At 39.3% G+C, this 18,801-nt stretch overlaps 1 protein-coding gene across 19 annotated transcripts in view, besides 3 other annotated features; it reads left to right on the forward strand.

Moving 5' to 3' along the window:
- The window catches only part of TPRG1 (tumor protein p63 regulated 1), a 328,078-nt gene that overhangs the window by 120,139 nt on the left and 189,138 nt on the right, over positions 1-18,801 (forward strand). For 3 of the 19 annotated variants that reach the window (XR_007095669.1, XM_047448031.1, XM_024453477.2), the window contains exons 1-4: positions 3,937-4,496; positions 6,214-6,335; positions 9,692-9,845; positions 15,034-15,332. The gene's annotated coding sequence lies outside the window, so the exon portion shown is untranslated. Of the gene's footprint in view, positions 1-2,447; positions 3,023-3,936; positions 4,497-6,213; positions 6,336-9,687; positions 9,846-10,838; positions 11,004-11,970; positions 12,025-12,527; positions 12,610-15,033; positions 15,333-18,801 lie in introns of those variants that run through there. The other 16 variants (XR_007095667.1, XR_007095668.1, XM_047448028.1 and 13 more) reach the window with 14 other exon arrangements.
- Positions 10,650-11,849: an enhancer, noted in NCBI's record as "BRD4-independent group 4 enhancer chr3:188845804-188847003 (GRCh37/hg19 assembly coordinates)". NCBI's record gives its function as "activates an origin of replication core promoter dependent on BRD2, P300/CBP, MED14 and CDK7 cofactors, and independent of BRD4, by STARR-seq in HCT116 cells {active_cell/tissue: HCT116}" and the evidence as "EXISTENCE:reporter gene assay evidence [ECO:0000049][PMID:35650434]".
- Positions 14,438-15,637: an enhancer, noted in NCBI's record as "CDK7 strongly-dependent group 2 enhancer chr3:188849592-188850791 (GRCh37/hg19 assembly coordinates)". NCBI's record gives its function as "activates an origin of replication core promoter dependent on BRD2, BRD4, P300/CBP, MED14 and CDK7 cofactors, with strong dependence on CDK7, by STARR-seq in HCT116 cells {active_cell/tissue: HCT116}" and the evidence as "EXISTENCE:reporter gene assay evidence [ECO:0000049][PMID:35650434]".
- Positions 15,075-15,144: an enhancer, noted in NCBI's record as "active region_20976". NCBI's record gives its function as "activates an Ori minimal core promoter by ATAC-STARR-seq in GM12878 lymphoblastoid cells {active_cell/tissue: GM12878}" and the evidence as "EXISTENCE:reporter gene assay evidence [ECO:0000049][PMID:35858748]".

The raw sequence follows: 18,801 nt of genomic DNA on the forward strand, positions 1-18,801 counted from the left end.
TAAAATTCTCATTGTAGGGAGTTTATTCCCTCACACTTCCAGTTTATATCACCTAGCCCCTCAAAAGAGATAGTCCCTGGGGAAGCTGGACTCCATGCCCTGTAGTTTAGCACTTCAACCAAATATAAAAGTGATAGAAGAAACCAGCACTTTTGTGGGTTCAGGCAGTGACATGGTTTTGCTGTGTCCTCACCCAAATCTCATCTTGAGTTGTAATCATCACAGTCCTGTGTCATGGGAGGGACCCCATGGGAGGTAATTGGATCATGGGAGTAGTTTCCCACATGCTGTTCTTGTGATAATGAGTGAGTCTCACAAGATCTGATGGTTTGTTAAACATCTGGCATTTACCCTCGTTGTACTCATTCCATCCTGCCACCATGTGAAGAAGGTACTTGCTTCTCCTTTGCCTTCTGCCATGTTTGTAAGTTTCCTGAGGCCTCCCCAGCCATGTGAACTGTGAGTCAATTAAACTTCTTTATAAATTACCCAGTCTCAGGTATTTCTTCATAGCAGTGTGAGAATGGACTATTACAGTAAATTGGTACTGGCTAGTGGGGTGCTGCTGTAAAGATACCCGAAAACGTGGAAGTGACTTTGGAAGTGGGTAACAGGCAGAGATTGGAACAGTTTGGAGGGCTCAGAAGAAGACAGGAAGATGTGGGAAAGTTTGAGACTTCCTAGAGACTTGGAGATCTCAGAAGACAGGGAGATATGGGAAAGTTTGGAACTTCCTAGAGACTTGTTGAATGGCTTTGACCAACATGCAGATAATGATGTGGACAATGAAGTCTAGGCTGAGGTGGCCTCAGATGGAGATGAGGAACTTGTTGGGAACTGGATTACAGGTCACTCTTGCTATGGAAAGAGACTGGCCGCATTCTACCCCTGCCCTAGAGATCTGTGGAACTTGGAATTTGAGAGAGATTATTTAGGGAATCTGGCAGAAGAAATTTCTAAGTGCCAGAGCATTCAAGAGGAAGCAGAGCATAAAATTTGGAAAATTTGCAGCCTAACAATGTGATAGAAAAGAAAACCCCATTTTCTGGGGAGAATTGCAAGCCACCTGCAGAAAGTTGTATAAGTATCAAGGAGTCAAATATTGATCACCAAGACAATGGGGGAAAATGTCTCCAGGGCTTGTCAGAGACCTTCACAGCAGCCCCACCTGTCACAGGCCTGGAGGCCTAAGAAGGAAAAATGGTTGTGTAGCCTGGGCCCAGGGACCCCTGCAGCCTTGAAACATGGTGCTCTGCATCCCAGCTGCTTCAGCTCCAGCTGTGGCTAAAAGGGGCCAACATACAGCTCAGGACATTGCTTCAGCGAGTGCAAACCCCAAGCCCCAAGCCTTGGCAGCTTCCATGTGGTGTTGGTCCTGTGGGTACACAGAAGTCAAGAACTGAGGTTTGGAAACCTCTGTCTAGACTTCAGAGGATGTATGGAAATGCCTGGATGTCTAGGCAGAAGTCTGCGCAGAGGCAGAGTCCTCATGGAGAACCTCTGCTACAGCAGTGTGGAAGGAAAATGTGGGGTCAGAGCCCTAACACAGAGTCCTCACTGGGGCACTGCCTTGTGGAGCTGTGAGAAGAAGGCCACCATCCTGCAGACCCCAGAATGGGAGGTCTACATACAGCTTGCACTGTGTGCCTGGAAAAGCCACAGGCACTCAGTGGCAGCCCATGAAAGCAGCTGTTAGGGGGGTTGAGCTTTGCAAAGCCACAGGGCAGAGCTGCCCAAGGCCATGTTGTGGGAGACCACCTTTTGTATCAGTGTGACGTGGATGTGAGTCATGGAGTCAAAAGAGATAATTTTGGAACTTTAAGGTTTAATGACTGCCCTGTGGAGTTTCAGACTTGCATGGGGCCTCTAACCCCCTTGTTTTGGCCAATTTCTCCCATGTAGAATGGGTGTATTTACCCAATGCCTATGCCCCCATTGTATCTAGGAAGTCACTAACCTACTTTTGATTTTACAGGCTCATAGGTGGAAGGGACTTACCTTGTCTCAGAAGAGACTTTGGACTTGGACTTTTGGATTAATGCTGGAATGACCTAAGACTTTGGGGGACTGTTGGAGGGGCACGATTGCGTTTTGAAATGTGAGGACATGAGATTTGGCAGGGGCCAAGGGCAAATTGATATGGTTTGGCTCTGTTTCCCCACCCAAATCTCACCTGGAGTTGTAATAATCTCCACATGTCGTGGGAGGTACTCAGTGGGAGGTAATGAAATCACAGAGGCAGTTACCCCTATGCTGTTCCTGTGGTAGTGAATGAGTTCTCATGAGATCTGATGGTTTATAAGGAACATTTCCCTGTTTGCTCAGCACTTCTCTCTCCTGCCGCCATGTGAAGAAGGACATGTTTGCTTCCCCTTCTGCCATGGTCGTAAGTTTCCTGAGGCCTCCCCAGCCATGCTGAACTGAGTCAATTAAACCTCTTTCCTTTATAAATTACCCAGTCTCAGGTATGTCTTTAATAGCAGTGTGAGAACAGACTAATACACGCAGGTTCCAGTAATGGGGTCTGTCCACCGGAGCGCCTCTGGCTCAGCCGTGGCAGACACAGTGGAGGCTATGCTAGCAGATAAGGAGGTTTCGGGGATGGCAGTGGCATCTAGAGCACTCCATGAGCAAGTTGTCAAGTGTCTTGGAGACAAGTGGTAACCTATTAGACCTGAGAGGGCATCATTAACTGTGCCCCAAACTAAAACATACTAAACGAACAAACCCCAAACAAATATCAGTATCTGTCAGAGGCAGTGGCAATGACCACTATGCTAGGAATGCATTTTAAAATTAGGGTGGGGAGGCTGTGTTGTTTGCAATCCAGTGCTTAACTGGCTCAAAATAGAGTTGGGAATTTTTAGAGCTTTAATATGCTAGATGAAAGAAAACAAGTGACATGATGACTAGAACCGCCACCACTGAATTTTCTAAACTTTAAGAAAAGGCAAGAAAATTGCTTTTAGAAGAAGAGAAGTTGAGAATATGCCCCAGTGAATCCTCCCCACCTGCAGTTATGGTAAATGTCTTTGTTTCAATTAATCTAATGATAATATATTTCATTCTCAGTAAGTTCCAAGATGTAGATTCTGGACAAAGAGTCTGGCATACTGGAAAGGAAAAAATATGTGAATCTTTGGGTCAGTGGTTCATTGAAGAATACTGACATTTAAAAAAATGCTTATAATAATGTGTGTTAAGTGCTATGAGAAAGATATGTGATACAGTGTATTTTGAATTCACATAAATGGAACATCCAACCAGACTTTGAAGGCCAGGAAAGTTGTCCAGAGAAAAGTAATGTCTAGGATTAATCCTAAAAGATGACTGAGGGTTGGTTGGCTAAATAAGGCTGAACAGCCAAACTGTTAAGAGGGCTCAGGAAATTTCATCTAAATTATAGCTGAAAGGCAAACCTGGTAAACCTCGATATAGGTCAATAAATTTTGGTGTGTGTTTTGAAAATCTTCTAAATTCTTCTCATGGTCACACACCCCATCTGAGACCAGGTCTTGTTAGTATTTCTGCAGTTTCAGAGGAATGTGCAGGAAGTGGGAAAATTTAGATAAATAATAAAGCATTTTATTCAATTAAAATTAAGGACATGTGTGGGAAAGCTAAAGGTAAATTATTAGATGACGCAGTACTACATTGAGCAAAAATCTTCTGTCCCAGAATGTGGTAGGTGAAAATAAAGATACAGATCTCTAAATTTTTATTTTCTTAGAGGATAAAACCAAAACAATTATAGAAAGAGTTTAATTATGAAAGGATTTTGTCAGTTAGGTAGATAAACCTGAGAGTTTGTAGATTTTAGTACCTGAAAAATCTCTTTAGGTAGAGTAAATAATCTAATTTACGTAACAGCCCTTGTGGCAGAGACAATGCCCTGTTTTACCACATCATTTCCTCTTCCTGGATACTCCGGAAGACAATATTTCTCAGCCTCCTTGAGGTTAGGTTAGGACTGAGTTTTATGTGATGGAATTTTGGCCAATGGAATGTGAGTAAAAAACCTTGAGCTCTAAAAAATTTCTGACATATTCTGTACCCCTCCTTCTCTTTTTTATGTTGAATTTGGAAGACAGGATTGTTTATTTTGTAGCTAAAAAGCAGAAGCAACTTGAATCTTTGACTCATAGCTTAGAAGAACCACTGAGTAGAACCAATCTATATCAGACTGTAATTGAACAAGAAGTAAATGTTTGTTGTGCTAAGCTACTGCTATTACTGGAATTATTTGTTCTTGAAGCAGAGCCTGATCTATCCTGACAAATGTACTCTTCCTTCCAGAGGTTTCCCCATGCCCTCTTTTGGACTTGATGGGGGTCATTTGGGACAATAAGGCCTGATAACTCCTTGGACTTAGGAAGCGAGAGAGCAGGAATCAAGAAAAGCTTTTGTGTTTTTTGGTTTGTGTAGAAAATATGATGGATTGAGATAAAATTTTTCAAAATAGGCCCAATGAAGAAGAGCAGATTCAAGGAGTAAAGGTATGATTTTAAATTGGACATGTTATGTTGAAAAGATATTTGGCCTTATATCATGCAGGATCTTGTAATTGCCTTTGAGAGAAAGCAGTGTTTTTATATGTCTAATTTTCTTTAGTATCTAGTATTTATATACAATTTATGTTTGTTGATGGGTTGGTTCCCTTAGCTGTGTGTGTGTGTTTGTGTATGTATGTATGCACACATGCCTAGAATTGCTTTGAGTTGTCTATACATTCACATGAAGTACTAGTAGCTTGTTTAAATGACAATAGTATATTTATATTCCTTCTTTCTTTCACTTTCTCTCCGACGTCTTTTCTGAATGTTTTTAGTCAGCATGTTCTTACTCTTTTTAAAGATATTTCTCATTAGGTAGATTGTAAAAGCCAACACCAAATGTTAAATCCAAGTTTGTTACACAAGCAGTTTGGAAGGTCAGAATGATCTCCACAAGATGCATACCAGAAGCTAACTCAATTTTTGATTTTCCCAAATGACTTTTCTTGTGAAATCTGGTTTTCACATCTCCCTATGCTTTTCCCCAATGGCCTGCTTTTATATTTCAAAATATAACCAGGACAAAGTATTTTAGAAAAGTTATTGGTTTTAATTTATCTTTGAAATCTCTTGGATTATTCCTGGGCATTTTTTTCCTAGAAGAGTATTTTGCGTAGCATGGGTATTAAAGGAGTCTTTGTTGACTGGTTAAAAGATCTTAGTTAGTTTGAGCTAGAAGAAAACTTACAGATCATCTAGTCCAACCCTGTCCTTTTATCGTTGTGAAACAAAAGCCCAGATAATTGAAATGTCTTGGCCAAGTTCACAAGGTTAGGCTTAGACCTGCTGCTATTACTAATGATGCTGCTCCCTTATTTATGTGCATAAGTTGTCAGTTTCACAAAGCCATCATTTATCTCATTTGTTCCTACGGTAACTATGTGAGATAAGAAATACAGAGATTATCAGTCCTTTTGGTTTTTTAACAAATGAAAAAATTGAGGCCCGGAGGAACTAAGTCAAATAGTTAGATTATCTTACTCATTTATGCACAAATATTGATTGAGCTCTTATTATGTGCCAGGCACTATTCTAGTTTTGTTCTAAAAACAGGCAAATGCTTTGTCCTCCTTGTATCAGGGAGAATGAAAGTGAAAACGCTCTAATAAATAATAGCTGAAATGAGTGAGCTTGCCTTCTCACTTCAGTCCAGTGGTGTTTTTCTCTACATCTCTGCTAATTAATTAAAACAAATAACATTTCTGGTGGATTGATTAATTCTCCTTTACTGAAGAGAAATAGCCCCTTTAAAGAATTTATCCTGTAAAGCATGCAAAACATTTTAGATGCAGCAATAAAAAGAGGGCTTTAGAGAGTTATATAATTTTATGTGCTCAAGAGAATATGGAGAAACATCAGTACATGTTCCCTTTCTCTCCAGCTTTGAGATTTATGATTGGTCTGTTACAATAATAATAGCTGAATATTGGTGCAAGAAATATATTTGATTCAGTGGGTAACATTTGACAGCCTTAACTTGTGAAATGTAGAAAAGTTCTTGCAGGAAGCTCCGGCAGAATGTGTAATGTACAAGAAGGTATTCAGGGAACAGAAAAATAAAATGAAAGGAACCTGCTACCCAATCTGTTTCATTAAATATGAAAATTAAAATGCCTTAACAAAATGCTTTCTCTTCCTCTCTCCTCCCAACAAACAAAAGCTTTGGTAGGCAGCCTGAAATTGCTCATCAAGGAAAAAGACCAGACTCGGATTTTAAATGGCTTCTTCTGAATGAAGCAATTAATGCTAAAAGGAACATGTTGTCTTATCAGCATTTATAAGGTACAACATTCATTGTACTTGCTGGCACTCTATCAAGTCTCTCCTTGGCCTAAGCGAGTAGAGAAATGCTTTGCTGCGTGTGCTCTTGACCTCTGGTAATCGGGAGGATTTGGCTGATAAACTTGACAGGAGTGATTCTCCCTGGGACTGGAAATGTGCCCGGGAAATGTGCTCTGGAGTCTCTCTCGCTCAGACCCTGGCCAGCCAGCCGTGGCAGGCCCATCAAGGCTGGCAACTCACCTATTTGCCAATTAGAGGTGGTACTGCTGTATGATTGTTTAGGATTTGAAATGCATTAGAGTAATGCAGCAGAGTCTTGTCTTTACTTCGTTGTACGTGTTCTGATTATTCAGCTTTTTCAGGTAATATTTTAAGAATATTACCTTCTTAAAGTTACTTATTATTCATTGACTCACTAATTCACGTGTTCATTCAGAGCACATGAATTAATGAGTTCCAGTGTGCCAGAGACAGCTTTGGGGAGGCTCTGGAGTAGGTACACAGAATAAGACATGGTGCTTGTCTTTAAGGAGCCTCAGTCTAACGGAAGAAGCAGGCAGAGAAATTCCTTGTGGCAATAAAACATAGTGGCTTAGAAAAGAAGCATATTTAAAGTGCAAGGGGAGCTCAGAAGGGGTGACAAAAGCTCCATCCTGTATGGTGATTTAAAGCAATGGCTTTCAAACTGTACTGTGACAACCCTGGGAGATGGGGAAAGTGAAAGACATAGATTAACAAGAGAGTTTAGATTATTCTTCTGCTAGATCCCCTCAGAAGAAGGGCTTTCTCTTTTGTTTCACGTATACATATTATGACATTTTTTTTAAGAACAAAGGACTTTGTGTGTGTGTGTGTGTATATATATATACACACACACACATACGTGTACATATATTAATATAGCTTTTCTTCATTAACTCATTTAATACTCTAATAATCTTGGCAGCAGGAGGCAATGTCCTCTCCACTTTATGTATGAGGAAACTATTTATCTTACATGAACATTTGTTATTTCATGGGCATTGCTAAAAATAGTAATCTTTATTTTTTCCTCCATAAAACCAAACTACTGAAATATTTTCACATTCAATTTGGGAAGGTCCACTACTGGCATGGAGCAAGATAAGAAATTGTTCAATGGGTAAATGATGGCAGAGTCTAGACCTATCTTTCTATACAATAACCCATGTTAAATAAATCCAAACTTTTAATTTATTAGCTTGAAAGTTAAATAAACTTTTGACCAAAGTAGTATTAGATCTTGCAATGAGATCTTAAGTGATTTACTTTAATCTGTTCTACCTTCAATTTAGTAGGTAATCTTTTAGGTCTCTCTTCGCTCTGAATGTTTGCTTTTACTTCTTGTTTTCCAATATTGGATGATTTATTTAATTAATTTCTAGGCAACTACATAAAAAAGTCTGCTTATACTCAGACAAAAAGTTTTCTTATTGTTTTTAATGTTTACTTTAAGATAATAATGTAGCATTGGAAGGGAAACCTGTATTATAGAGTCAGAGCAAGTCAAATCCTTGTTGTTCCACAAACAAGACATATAACCTCGGGCAAGTTTCTTTTTCTCCCTTGGCTTCAGTATTCTCAGGTGTCAAATGGAGATATTAATCCCAGTTAACCTCCCGTATTGTTTTTGAGGATCAAAAGAAATGATATAATAGAAATTACACAGTGAATTTATAAAGTACTACATTAAATGAAGGTGCTTATTATTTACTGAGCCCTGGGCCTGTCAGACCATATGATCTTCTTCCAGGGTTGTCTGTTTATAGCTGATTAATTCCTCTTTCTCTCCACCCCACCCCTTTTGAGGTCCAAAAAGGTAGGAGATTGGCAAAGAAATAAAAAGCCACAGCTTTCATGTAAACAACTCCTCCCCCAATTAATCCTTCTTTGGTCTCTCTATTCATATGTCTTCTTAATCAACAGGTACAAAGGAAGTATCACCTTCAAGCCCCATGTTAGGATTCTGCCAGCTCAGGGGCCCCAGATCTCAGAAAAGACCATCCTCCTCCTTTGCAGAATTCTTTATATCAGACTTATTTTTCTCATTGAGAGATTCCATTGCCTATTCAGAAGATGGAGCTGCAGGGTGTTTTGTGTGTGTGTGTGTGTGTGTGTGTGTGTGTGTGTGTGTGTGTGTGTGTGTGTGTGTGTTTGGTATATTTAGTTTTATTTTTTAAAATGTCTTTAGTGATCAGAAAAAAATGCTTCTGTAAGAACATCACCCTGATGGCACTCCATCTTTATTGTCTCATATCAGATTAACTTTTCTGACAAAGTACAAAGTGGATTTCTCCCTGCCAGCTCTATAAGCACTGCCGATGCCTGGAAGAGAGCTGGGCTCTTTTCCTGAGTTCACAGCATCATTATAGATAATAAAAATCCTGGAAGTGGGACTTTACTGACAATTTTGGTTTGGGGGATGATGCATGAGACAGAGAAAAGTCCATTTTGGGCAATGAGGTGCTGACACCAGGAAAACTCTTTGTTCCACATAAAATAAGTCAATTTGACTCAGAAGATACATGGAGGGTAGAGCTATATTCTCATAAGGTGGCATGACCTTCTTCTAGTATTAAAAAAATACCACTCTGCTTTCAGACAGAACTTGAAGGTTATTTCTTCTTTCCTTAGTTAAGGGAATCTGCTCAGAGAACAAGATAATAAATAGGCTTAACTCCTAGTTTTGCCACTTATTAGCTCGATGTCACTAAGACTGGCCACTGGTTATTTATAAATTGGGAAAAAATACCTGCCTTATTATCCCCTGGTATGTTGTGAGGGTTAAGTGAGAATTCCTTCATGTGTATGAGGCTTTCTGATTTTAAAGCATTTTTATATGGGAAATGGGTGCATGTGATTAAGAGTGTGGTTTTTTGGGGCAGCAAAATGTGTCTGAATTCCATTTCCATTATTTCCTAGCTCTATGACCTTGTATAATTTGCTTAAGCTTGCTGAGCTTAGATCTACTCATTGTTCAAATGGAAATTGGACCTCCAAATTTATGAGGACATCAGAAGGATTAAATGATACAAGTGAAGTGTTTACCTTGGCACCTGGTGTTTGCTATGTATTCTATAAATTATTGCTAGTTGTATCTTATTTGATTCCTACCAAACCCTGTAGGGAAAGAAAGACAGCTCTTATTCACACGATTTCATTGTGAAATAATTGCTAACCAGAAGTACAGAAAGATGAGTGTGATGATGATCTAGGGTTTGAATCCAGTTTCTAGACTTAAATCCAGCAGGAATATCCTGTAAAACAACATATAAACTTAGAGCTTCTGACCTCTAAGCTGTCAGTAATTACAAATCTGCATCTTCCCTTTGAGACAGGATTATTTATGAGGATGGCCTGTGCAAAAAGACACCCAGAGATTTCATGCTGTTGATTCACAGAAAGCCTGTTCCTCTTCACTCCGTAGAGTCCTCAGAGTCTGGATCATCCCTTACAGAAGATCCTTGATAATATTTCTGATATACCTCCAAGGTGAGTAGAAGGAACTATGGGAGTGGCAACCAAAAAGGAAAATTATGATGCCTATAGGAATTTGATTTCAGTAGCCAGAATAGCATTGAGGCCACAAAACCATTACTTAGGTGTCTGCTCCATCAAAAACTGGGATCCTAAAAGGCAAGATGTCAGAACTAGAAGGATTTTAGAGATCATATAGGTGCTGACATATGTTAACAAATGGAAACTATTGACACAAGTTAAAATTGTATCTGCCACAGTGTATATTATAACCAATGTGCCAAGTTAGTGGTCAATGGGCCTCTCAACTTTCAATTTTGAAAGTCACGTTTGCTTTGGAGATACCGTAGGGCATCTTGACATGAACATGACACAACCTTTGTCCTTAAGACCAAAATAAGAGATATCAATACAATGTGAATAACATGTGGCTATACTCCCAGGTAAAGGTCTTAAGGTCTTTTTATAGCAATGTGGAGATTCAGAGAAAAACAAACCATACTTGATTTGGAGAATAAAGGAGGTAAACTCACAAAAGAGATGGCCTCTGGGTAGAACCTTGAGGTCCAGATGTTATGGAAGAGAAAGAAGTATGAAATCAATGGCCTTTGTGAGGTAGAGTCTAAGTTGTCTTCCCTCAGACTCAGTTTCTCACTAGGAAAGTGAAGTTAAGCATAATTCCCTATATGCTTAGCTGGTATATGTAAAAATGTTGTGTTCAAAGTCTTCCTCCTCTTCTCTTTCATTCTTTCCCCAAAACCTCACTACAGGTCCCAAGAGGTGGGCTCCTACTTTAGTCTACCAGGACCATCTTATAGGTTGTTGCTGATTTTGATCTTTCCTCACAGCTTAAAAAATCTGCACAGTATTTTTATCATTGGGCTTTTGTGGGGAGTGAGAAGTAAAAATAACTTAAAAATTTTAAAATAAATTTTGCACAATTGCAAGATGAGTCAGAAAGGGAAAATTCCTGTTTGTCGTGTACTCTTAATGAATTCGTTTTGCTAGAGTCTTGTGATAGATGAACCTTTGTGCAGCTCTCCTGGAGCATGGGCCGCCATGGCCCTTGCATGGAATCATTGTACCAGAGCTGTCAGTATTGTGCAAAGACGGCCTGGAGGAGGGAAGAAGACACCTTCAAGAAAGGGACAGAGTATTGGAAGTCAGGTCAAGGTAGGTTTATCAGATTTAGGAAATAAAAATACAGGGCATCTAAAGAAAAAAATTGTTTTAAGTATGTCTCAACCATAACATGAAACATATTTATACTAAAAAAGTTGTTTATCTGAAATTCAAATTTAACTGGAGTCCTATATTTTATCTGGCAACTGTAGTTGAATGAGATGAAAAGGTCAAAGAGTTAAGAAGTAATAAAGATATTTTTATAAGGGTTTATAATTTTCGAAGTGCCCTCATGTTCCTTATCTCATTTTGACCTCATATCAACAAAATGTTGGTACTATTTCTCTAATTTTAGTGATAATGAAAGATTAGGCTGAGAGAGCTTAGGTAACTTACCTAAGGACATGCCACTGGTAGGTGTCAGTGTTGGCTCTTCAACTCAGTTATTTTATTATTAGCATTATTTTTTGAGACAGAGTTTCGCTCTTGTTGTCCAGGCTGGAGTGCAAGGGCGCAATCTCGGCTCACTGCAACTTCCACCTCCCGGGTTCAAGCGATTCTTCTGCCTCAGCCTCCTGAGTAGCTGGGATTACAGGCGTGAGCTGCCGCACCCGGCCCAACTCAGTTATCTTTTAAACTTCTTATTTTGAGATAATTTTAGACTCAGGAAAAACAAAAACAAAAACAACAGCAGCAGCAACTTCTCCTAATGTTAACATCTTATCTACCCGTGGAACAATGATTAAAAACTAAGAAATTAACTTTAGTACTATTCACTAAAGTATGGACTTTATACATATTTCATCAATTTTTTCACAAATGTCCTTTCTTATTCCTAGGCTCCAATTCAGAGTCCCACGTTGCCTTAGTTGTCAGGTCTCCTGCCATCTGTGACAGTTTCTCACAGTTTTTCCTTTTCTTTCATGATTGTGACACTTTTGAAGAGTACTGATGAGTTATTTTGTAGAATGTCCTTCAATTTTGGTTTTTCTGATCTTTTCTTGGGACTATACTGAAGGTATTGCAAAAGATACCACAGCAGGGATGCGTCCTTCTCAGGCTGTGATACCAGGTATATTATGTTGATATATATTATTGGTGACATTAACCCTGATCACTTGGTTAAGATGGCATCTGCTGGATTTTTCCACTGTAAATTTGCTGTTTCCCCCTTTGTTATTACTAAATATTTTGAGAAGTGACACTTGAGACTATAAAAATATGCTGTTTATACTTAAACTTTCCCTCATTAACTAATTTTAGCCTCTTGTGGTGGATCTTGCTTGTTGCCATTGTTATTATGATGTTGTAATGGTCATTTTCTATTTTCCTCATTTTCTCTATATTTATTAACTGAAACTCTCTGTTGGAAAGAGTTGTCGCTTCACTCCTTATTTAAGCTCAGTTATTTTAAGTCCAAGACTATTGCTTTTTTCACTAAAGCACAGATGAAGAAAAAAGTATAGGATTTTGAGCTATGGTAAAGTTATGATTGTTTCATGTGCACAGTGGAAGGAGTATGAAAATAATTTTACTTATTTTACTAACATTGATCAAACATTTACTTCTATACAGGGCCTTGTGTTAGGCATTGTGAAGGAAAGAGAAATGCACAAAAAATCTCATGGAGGCTGATAAATCAAAGATAATACTTAAGGTACTCTTCATAAGAGGGATAATAAAACTTCTCAGCTGAATGTTGAACTGATAAATGATTATGTTGATGACTATGGCAATGATAAGTGAATTGTAATGCAGTTATCAAGCACTCATGGCAAGCTCAGCTCTGAGTAATATAGAATATCCTCAACCAGATGATCATGATGTATGTACAGATCTTGGCACATACATCATGTGCCATGGGTTCTAGGCACATGCATAGTACCGAGTATGTTGGGTTATAAGCACCATGAGATCTTTCTCATAATTTATAGAAAGAAGAACTCAACTAGACAATAACTATTTTGACTGTCTTTAGGATCCATGATTCCTTTCTGCCTGGGAGAGATTATGAGGCTTCAGAGAATTCAAACATTGCTCCTCATTAAGGAAATGGTGAATTAACTTACATGTAGTACCTGAAAAAATTAAACTTCTATTCTCAGTGCTTTCTTAACTGGCCTAAAATGGACCTTACAGGTATAATCTCAGTAACTCAAATGTTATCAGAGGAAAATGGCCTGGCATGGTCAAAACGTAGCAGATTATTTTAACCAGTAGTTAATAAAACTGAACAACAGCATGAAAGAGAACACCAATAGTCCCTTGACATGGACTGTAATAGGATGAAACTAGAGGCAAATGTAGATTCCCTTCTGTGAGTGTGAGGGCTCTACTATCAAGCAACCATTTATATATTCTGGCAGAATATGAACTGCTTAGGACACACTCATAATGTGATGTGAAGAGTACCAATGTCTGTTAAAAAAATCCATTTGAAAGTACTATTTAAAAAATCCAACAGTAGAGCTATATATTCCAGCTATAACAGGCTTTCATTTACATTCTTCCTCAAATGCAGGTCATAACCTGAGTTTGAGATGCAGGGAATGACCTGCGTTTTAGAGAAGAGGAAAGTGAGGTTCAGGGCCATATGTGATTTTTGCTAACAATGGTGGATCTTGAGCTAGGATCCAAAACTTCTGATTATGAGATGTGTACTTTTTACCTCATGCCATGTTACCTCTGGCCGGTAAAATACCTAAAATTCTGCACAACTCTAAGTAACGTGATCGTATGTCCCACTTTGCCCAGAACAGTTCAGATTTATCCTTTTTGGCAGCATAATTAGTAATAATCTTACCTTTTACTCTAAAAAATGTTTTAAATCGGAGCAGCGATTATGTAGTAATTTCACTGATGGGAGGGCTCAGGGAGATTCCAACTTGGGCTTCAGTGTTTAAATTGGTGCTAAAGAAATCCCTAATGAGTTACTTCTATACATTACAAAAAGGCAATATCATTTAAGATATTATGTAAATATGATACATTCTAATGTTGGAATTATATATAAATATTCATGTGTGTATATGTATACGTGTATATACGTGTATCTATATGTGTGTTTATATATATATAGTTGTCTAGAAAAAAGCTCACTAAAAGGCAAAATTACAATAATTTGAGAATATAAAATCTCCATCTTGAAGGAAACAAGACCATGTAGATAGCAGTTGATAACATAATAATAATTCTTCTCACAAATGCAGTAGGACTTTATATTACTGAGCACTTTCTGATCATATTTTCTCATTTCAACTTTCTAAGAATGCTCAGTCAATAAACGAATCCCCCATTTTGCAGGTGAAGCCAAAATGCAGATACACAGTGAATGAGGCAGATCTGGGACCTCTGAGATTGTCCTCATTAAGACCCTTCAGCACTGACCTTTATCCTTATCCTATATTGGCTTTCAAAGCTAAGAGTGAGACATTGAACTTATAGCCAGAGGCATATTATTATGCTTGTGCTGCTTGTCTCTCATCTCCTTGAGAAGGAAAAGGAGAGCATAATAGTGCCACAGTATAACTCAGGAGAAACTAAGGAAAGCTTCTTTTTTATTTAAAGCCAACGTTTAGCCAATGGTTAATTTCTGTCTCAAGCTATTCAAAGGAATACTAACTAAGATTTGCTGTGACTGCTATGTGATTTATGGCAACTTGCTTTTCTTCTCTAGTCCTCAGTTTCTCCATGTGAAAAATGAAACTTTTAACTAGATCATCTCCATGGTTCTCTCTGGCTCTGATAGTGCACGACTCCCTGATTCTGAACTTCTGGGAAAAGGACAAATTCCAAAGCTGTATTCCAGAACCACCCTGTCTAACTTGGTCTCTTCTTTTCTTTGCATTTGGAGTGAGCCCAAAAGAAAGGTCATTTTTGCAGACATCTTGATGTTGTGCTCCAATGTCCTCATTAAATAACAGGAGCCTGGACTGGCAGGCCCAAGGGAATATTCAATCAAGGAGAAAAAGGCCAAGTCATTACTGGAACCCTATCATCAGAGCTGTAAACACAAGCATCTATTCCTGGGCGTTAGCTGAAAGCGTGTTTGATCGCGTGCTTTCTCTCTCTCCTTATACAGGTTCCGTTTGTCAAATGTGTGCGACCCTTCTGATAAGTCACCAGAGGTGATGAGGGAGAGAGAGAAAGAAAGCAAATTACAACTGTAAAGAGTCTCTGAACAGTGAAAGATCAAAACAGACAGTCTCTGGCTTTACTGGATGAGTCACCATTGCAGCCCGACCGCAAAAACAAGCGTGGCTTCTGTACTTAGCAGCAGTCTTCCTGTCTGGAAAGGAAACATTGCTCAGATTGGAGATACTGGCCATTTTATAGACTTCAAAGCAACTTAGGCCACTGAACTGTCAGGCGGGAAAACAGGTAAAACAATTTTCCTAGCGTTTGTCTGGAGAATCAGCTACTCAAATCTGATTTGAAGCTGCATGGAAATACTTTCATCTTTAGCCAAAGCTGTTTATTTTAAAAAGTTTTAGTATGATGGTCTTCAGTTCCAGTGTAGTATGTCTATTTTTCCTCAAATAATGTAAGTTAGTTTTTTCTGGAAGAGACTTGTTTCCAGGCACTGAGCTAAGTTCTGTGGGGGATGGAGATATAATCAACATGAGGACCTTCTAATGAGGAAGCGGGGCCAGTACACATACCATGACACTATGAACGGAAATATGTACTGAAAACAGGAAAAACATGATACCATGATGGTGCAAGGAAAACAGAGGTGGGTCTTGATGAATGGTCTACCAGAGGAGAGACTAGTGTAAAGAAAGGCCTGTGTGTATTCAGGATTTAGCAATGAGTCTAATTTAGGTTGAAATGTAACATACAAATAAGGAAGTAGAAGAAATAAAACTGGAAAGAGACTGGGATCAGATCTGGAAAGAGTTTGAATGCCAGGATGAAGATTTGAAGTCTTATGCTGTGTGCTAGGGAGACAGGGAGAGAAGAAGTAGTAACGTTATGGGAAGATAATAGTGCCAACTCCAGAGAGGAAAAGGCAAAGGAGCAAGATCAAGATCAGTTAGAAGCCTCTTGCCACAGTTCAGGAAAGAAATTAATTTTGGCCTGATATGGTTTGGCTGTGTGTCCCTACTCAAATGCCATCTTGAATTGTAATCCCCTCGTATTGAGGGAGGGAAGTGACTGGATTATGAGGGTGGTTTCCCCCATGCTGGTCTTGTGATAGTTCTCACAAGACCTGTTGGTTTTATAAGCCCTGCCTACACTTCTCTCTCCTGCCACCATGTGCAGAAGGTCCTTGCTTTCTCCTCTGCCATGATTGTGAGTTCCCTGAGGCCTCTTCAGCCTTGTGGAACTGTGAGTCAATTAAGCCTTTTTCCTTTACAAATTACCCAGTCTCAGGCAGTATCTTTATAGCAGTGTGAGAACAAACTAACACATGGCTCCTCACTTACAGCATTCCATCTCGAGCTAGACAAGAGAAGATCTACAGGAGAGGGTTGTGTTAATGCATCTGAATTTCTAACCTAGTCTATGAGGATATTAATATAAATAAAAGTATTCACCATCACAGAATGGATTAGTGTATGTTAAAGTCATTGAGTGGAGGTGTGTGAGACTCTGAAGACTGTGGCCAACTCAAGTTGACACAACAAAAGAAAGTTGCTCACTTCATAGAAGTGTGGAGGCAAATAGTGTTATCTGGACTACTCATACTGCAGGCTTTATTGCTGCTTGGAATGTTGAATACACATGTTAGCTATTCAACCCATAGTTTCTTTCCATTGTATGGTTTGTTTCCAGTCAAGGTCCCAGCCCTTGGTCTTTGAAAGTAGTGACACCAGGAAGGAAGAGCTTCCACCTTATCTGGTGGCTCTGTCCCTGCTGTGTGTCTGACCGTGGGTAAATCACCTGCCATCTCTGGGGCTTGGTTTCCTCATCTGCAAAATGAACATGTTATGTTCTTCAGTATTCAGGGCCCTTCAAAGTTTCAGCAGTTTAAGTTGTATGTTCAGTACAAGTAGTATCCATTACTAACGTTATCTTTCACAAAATGAACCAATCTCATTGAACCCTCCTAACAGCCCTAGGAATAAGCAGTGGGGGTATCCTTTTTTTTTTTTTTTTTTTTTTTTTTTGAGACAGAGCCTCTCTTTGTTGCCCAGGATGGAGCACAGTGGCATGATCATAGCTCACTGCGGCCTTGACTTCCCTGACTCAAGTGATCCTCCCACCTCAGCCTCCCCAAGTAGGTGGGACTATATATAGAGGCATGCCACCACACCTGACTAATTTATAAAATTTTGTAGAGTTGGGGTCTCACAATGTGGTACAGGCTGGTCTCAAACTTCTGGCCTCAAGCAATCGTCTTTCCTCAGCCTCCCAAACTGCTGGAATTATAGGCATGAGCCACTGCATCTGGATGGTATAATTATTTTAAATACATTTTACTCATATGTTAATAGAGCCACATGAAAGGTAAATAATTTTCACTAGGACTTACAGTGATTTACTGATCTAGTCATGACTAGAGCCTTGACCACCTGACTCCTAGCCCAGTGCTCTCTCCACTCTACCAGGCTGTACTGATCAGTAAAGTACATGACAAGGAATGTACGCAGTTTTCTATGATCTTGAATATGCTGTGGCTTTATTGTTTCTTCTGAGTTAGGACAGCCCAACAGAAAAATAATGGTTTTACGGGGTCCCTGAAAAGTTTTACTGGTTAAATGCATGTCTTTTAGTCTACTTCCTTACAGTGGGATGTGTGCAGATGTTGAGCTCTTCTTTGCGGTCAGTACTTCTGTCGTCAGATGCAGGTGGTTATGAACTTGGATGCAGTCAGTAGCCAGAGACTTGGCCATCTACACTCTTCAGCATGGGTCCCTCTGACCCTAAAAATCATACAGTCCCTGGGCCAAAATGGCCTCATCCAATCCAATGTCCTGTCCAGGGCTTGATCTCTTCTATTGCAGTTCTAATGGTTGTCCAGCATCTTCTTGAGCGTCAACATCACTTGTGGATCCTGGACGTGTACTGTCAATTGTCTCAACATCTTCACATGCTTCCCTCACTGTCAGCTCACATTCAACATGACAAGTTTCAAAACCCATGTTACCTTTTCTAAATACTTTTCTTCTCAGATGGCATTGCTATCTATTTAGTTTAACAAGCTAAAACCTAGTCCTCTTACACCCAGTCTTCTTCGACATTTAGCAACTTATGCTCCCCCTGAAATCTGTCTACATCTATCCTCTATTGTATTCACTTTCCCTGTCGCCCTTCATGCCCCCCTGCTATATTTCTCTGGACTATATGTGTAGCTGCTCAAATGATTGCTCAGAGCCTTTAATAGGCAAGTCTGCATTTTACATTTCTAAAAAAGAATATAGGATACATTTCTCCAACTTATTGGCTATGGAACATCTTTTTTTCCTCAGAGCATCTTCTGGAAAATGCTAGTCTAGCCTTTCCAGATGCAGTGTAGTCCCTGTCATTGTCACATCTGTCCACCCCTCTTTGTAGCTGAACTTGTTATTTCCTCTGCTTAGAATGCCCTTCTTCCTGACTCTTGCCATCTGGAGAAATCCTACGCATATTTCACAGTCCAATTCAAATATCTCCTACTCTCTGAAGCCTTCTTTGATCTCAAGTCCCAGTACATTGGCATAACCTCTGAGCTCTCAGAGGGCCGTGTACTTGAATCTATTATAATATCTAAATTATATTATAGCTGTGTGTTTGTGCCTATCTACCAACAATTCTAAGCTCTATATGTTACTCACCTGTCACCAAGTCTGGAAATTTGACTCCCTTCTTTCACTTCTTTGAACATTCACCAACTTATAGTTGATGCTAAATAAACTTCATGCAA

The sequence above is a fragment of the Homo sapiens genome, chromosome 3 (assembly GCF_000001405.40).
Source record: "Homo sapiens chromosome 3, GRCh38.p14 Primary Assembly".
Classification (NCBI taxonomy): domain Eukaryota; kingdom Metazoa; phylum Chordata; class Mammalia; order Primates; family Hominidae; genus Homo; species Homo sapiens.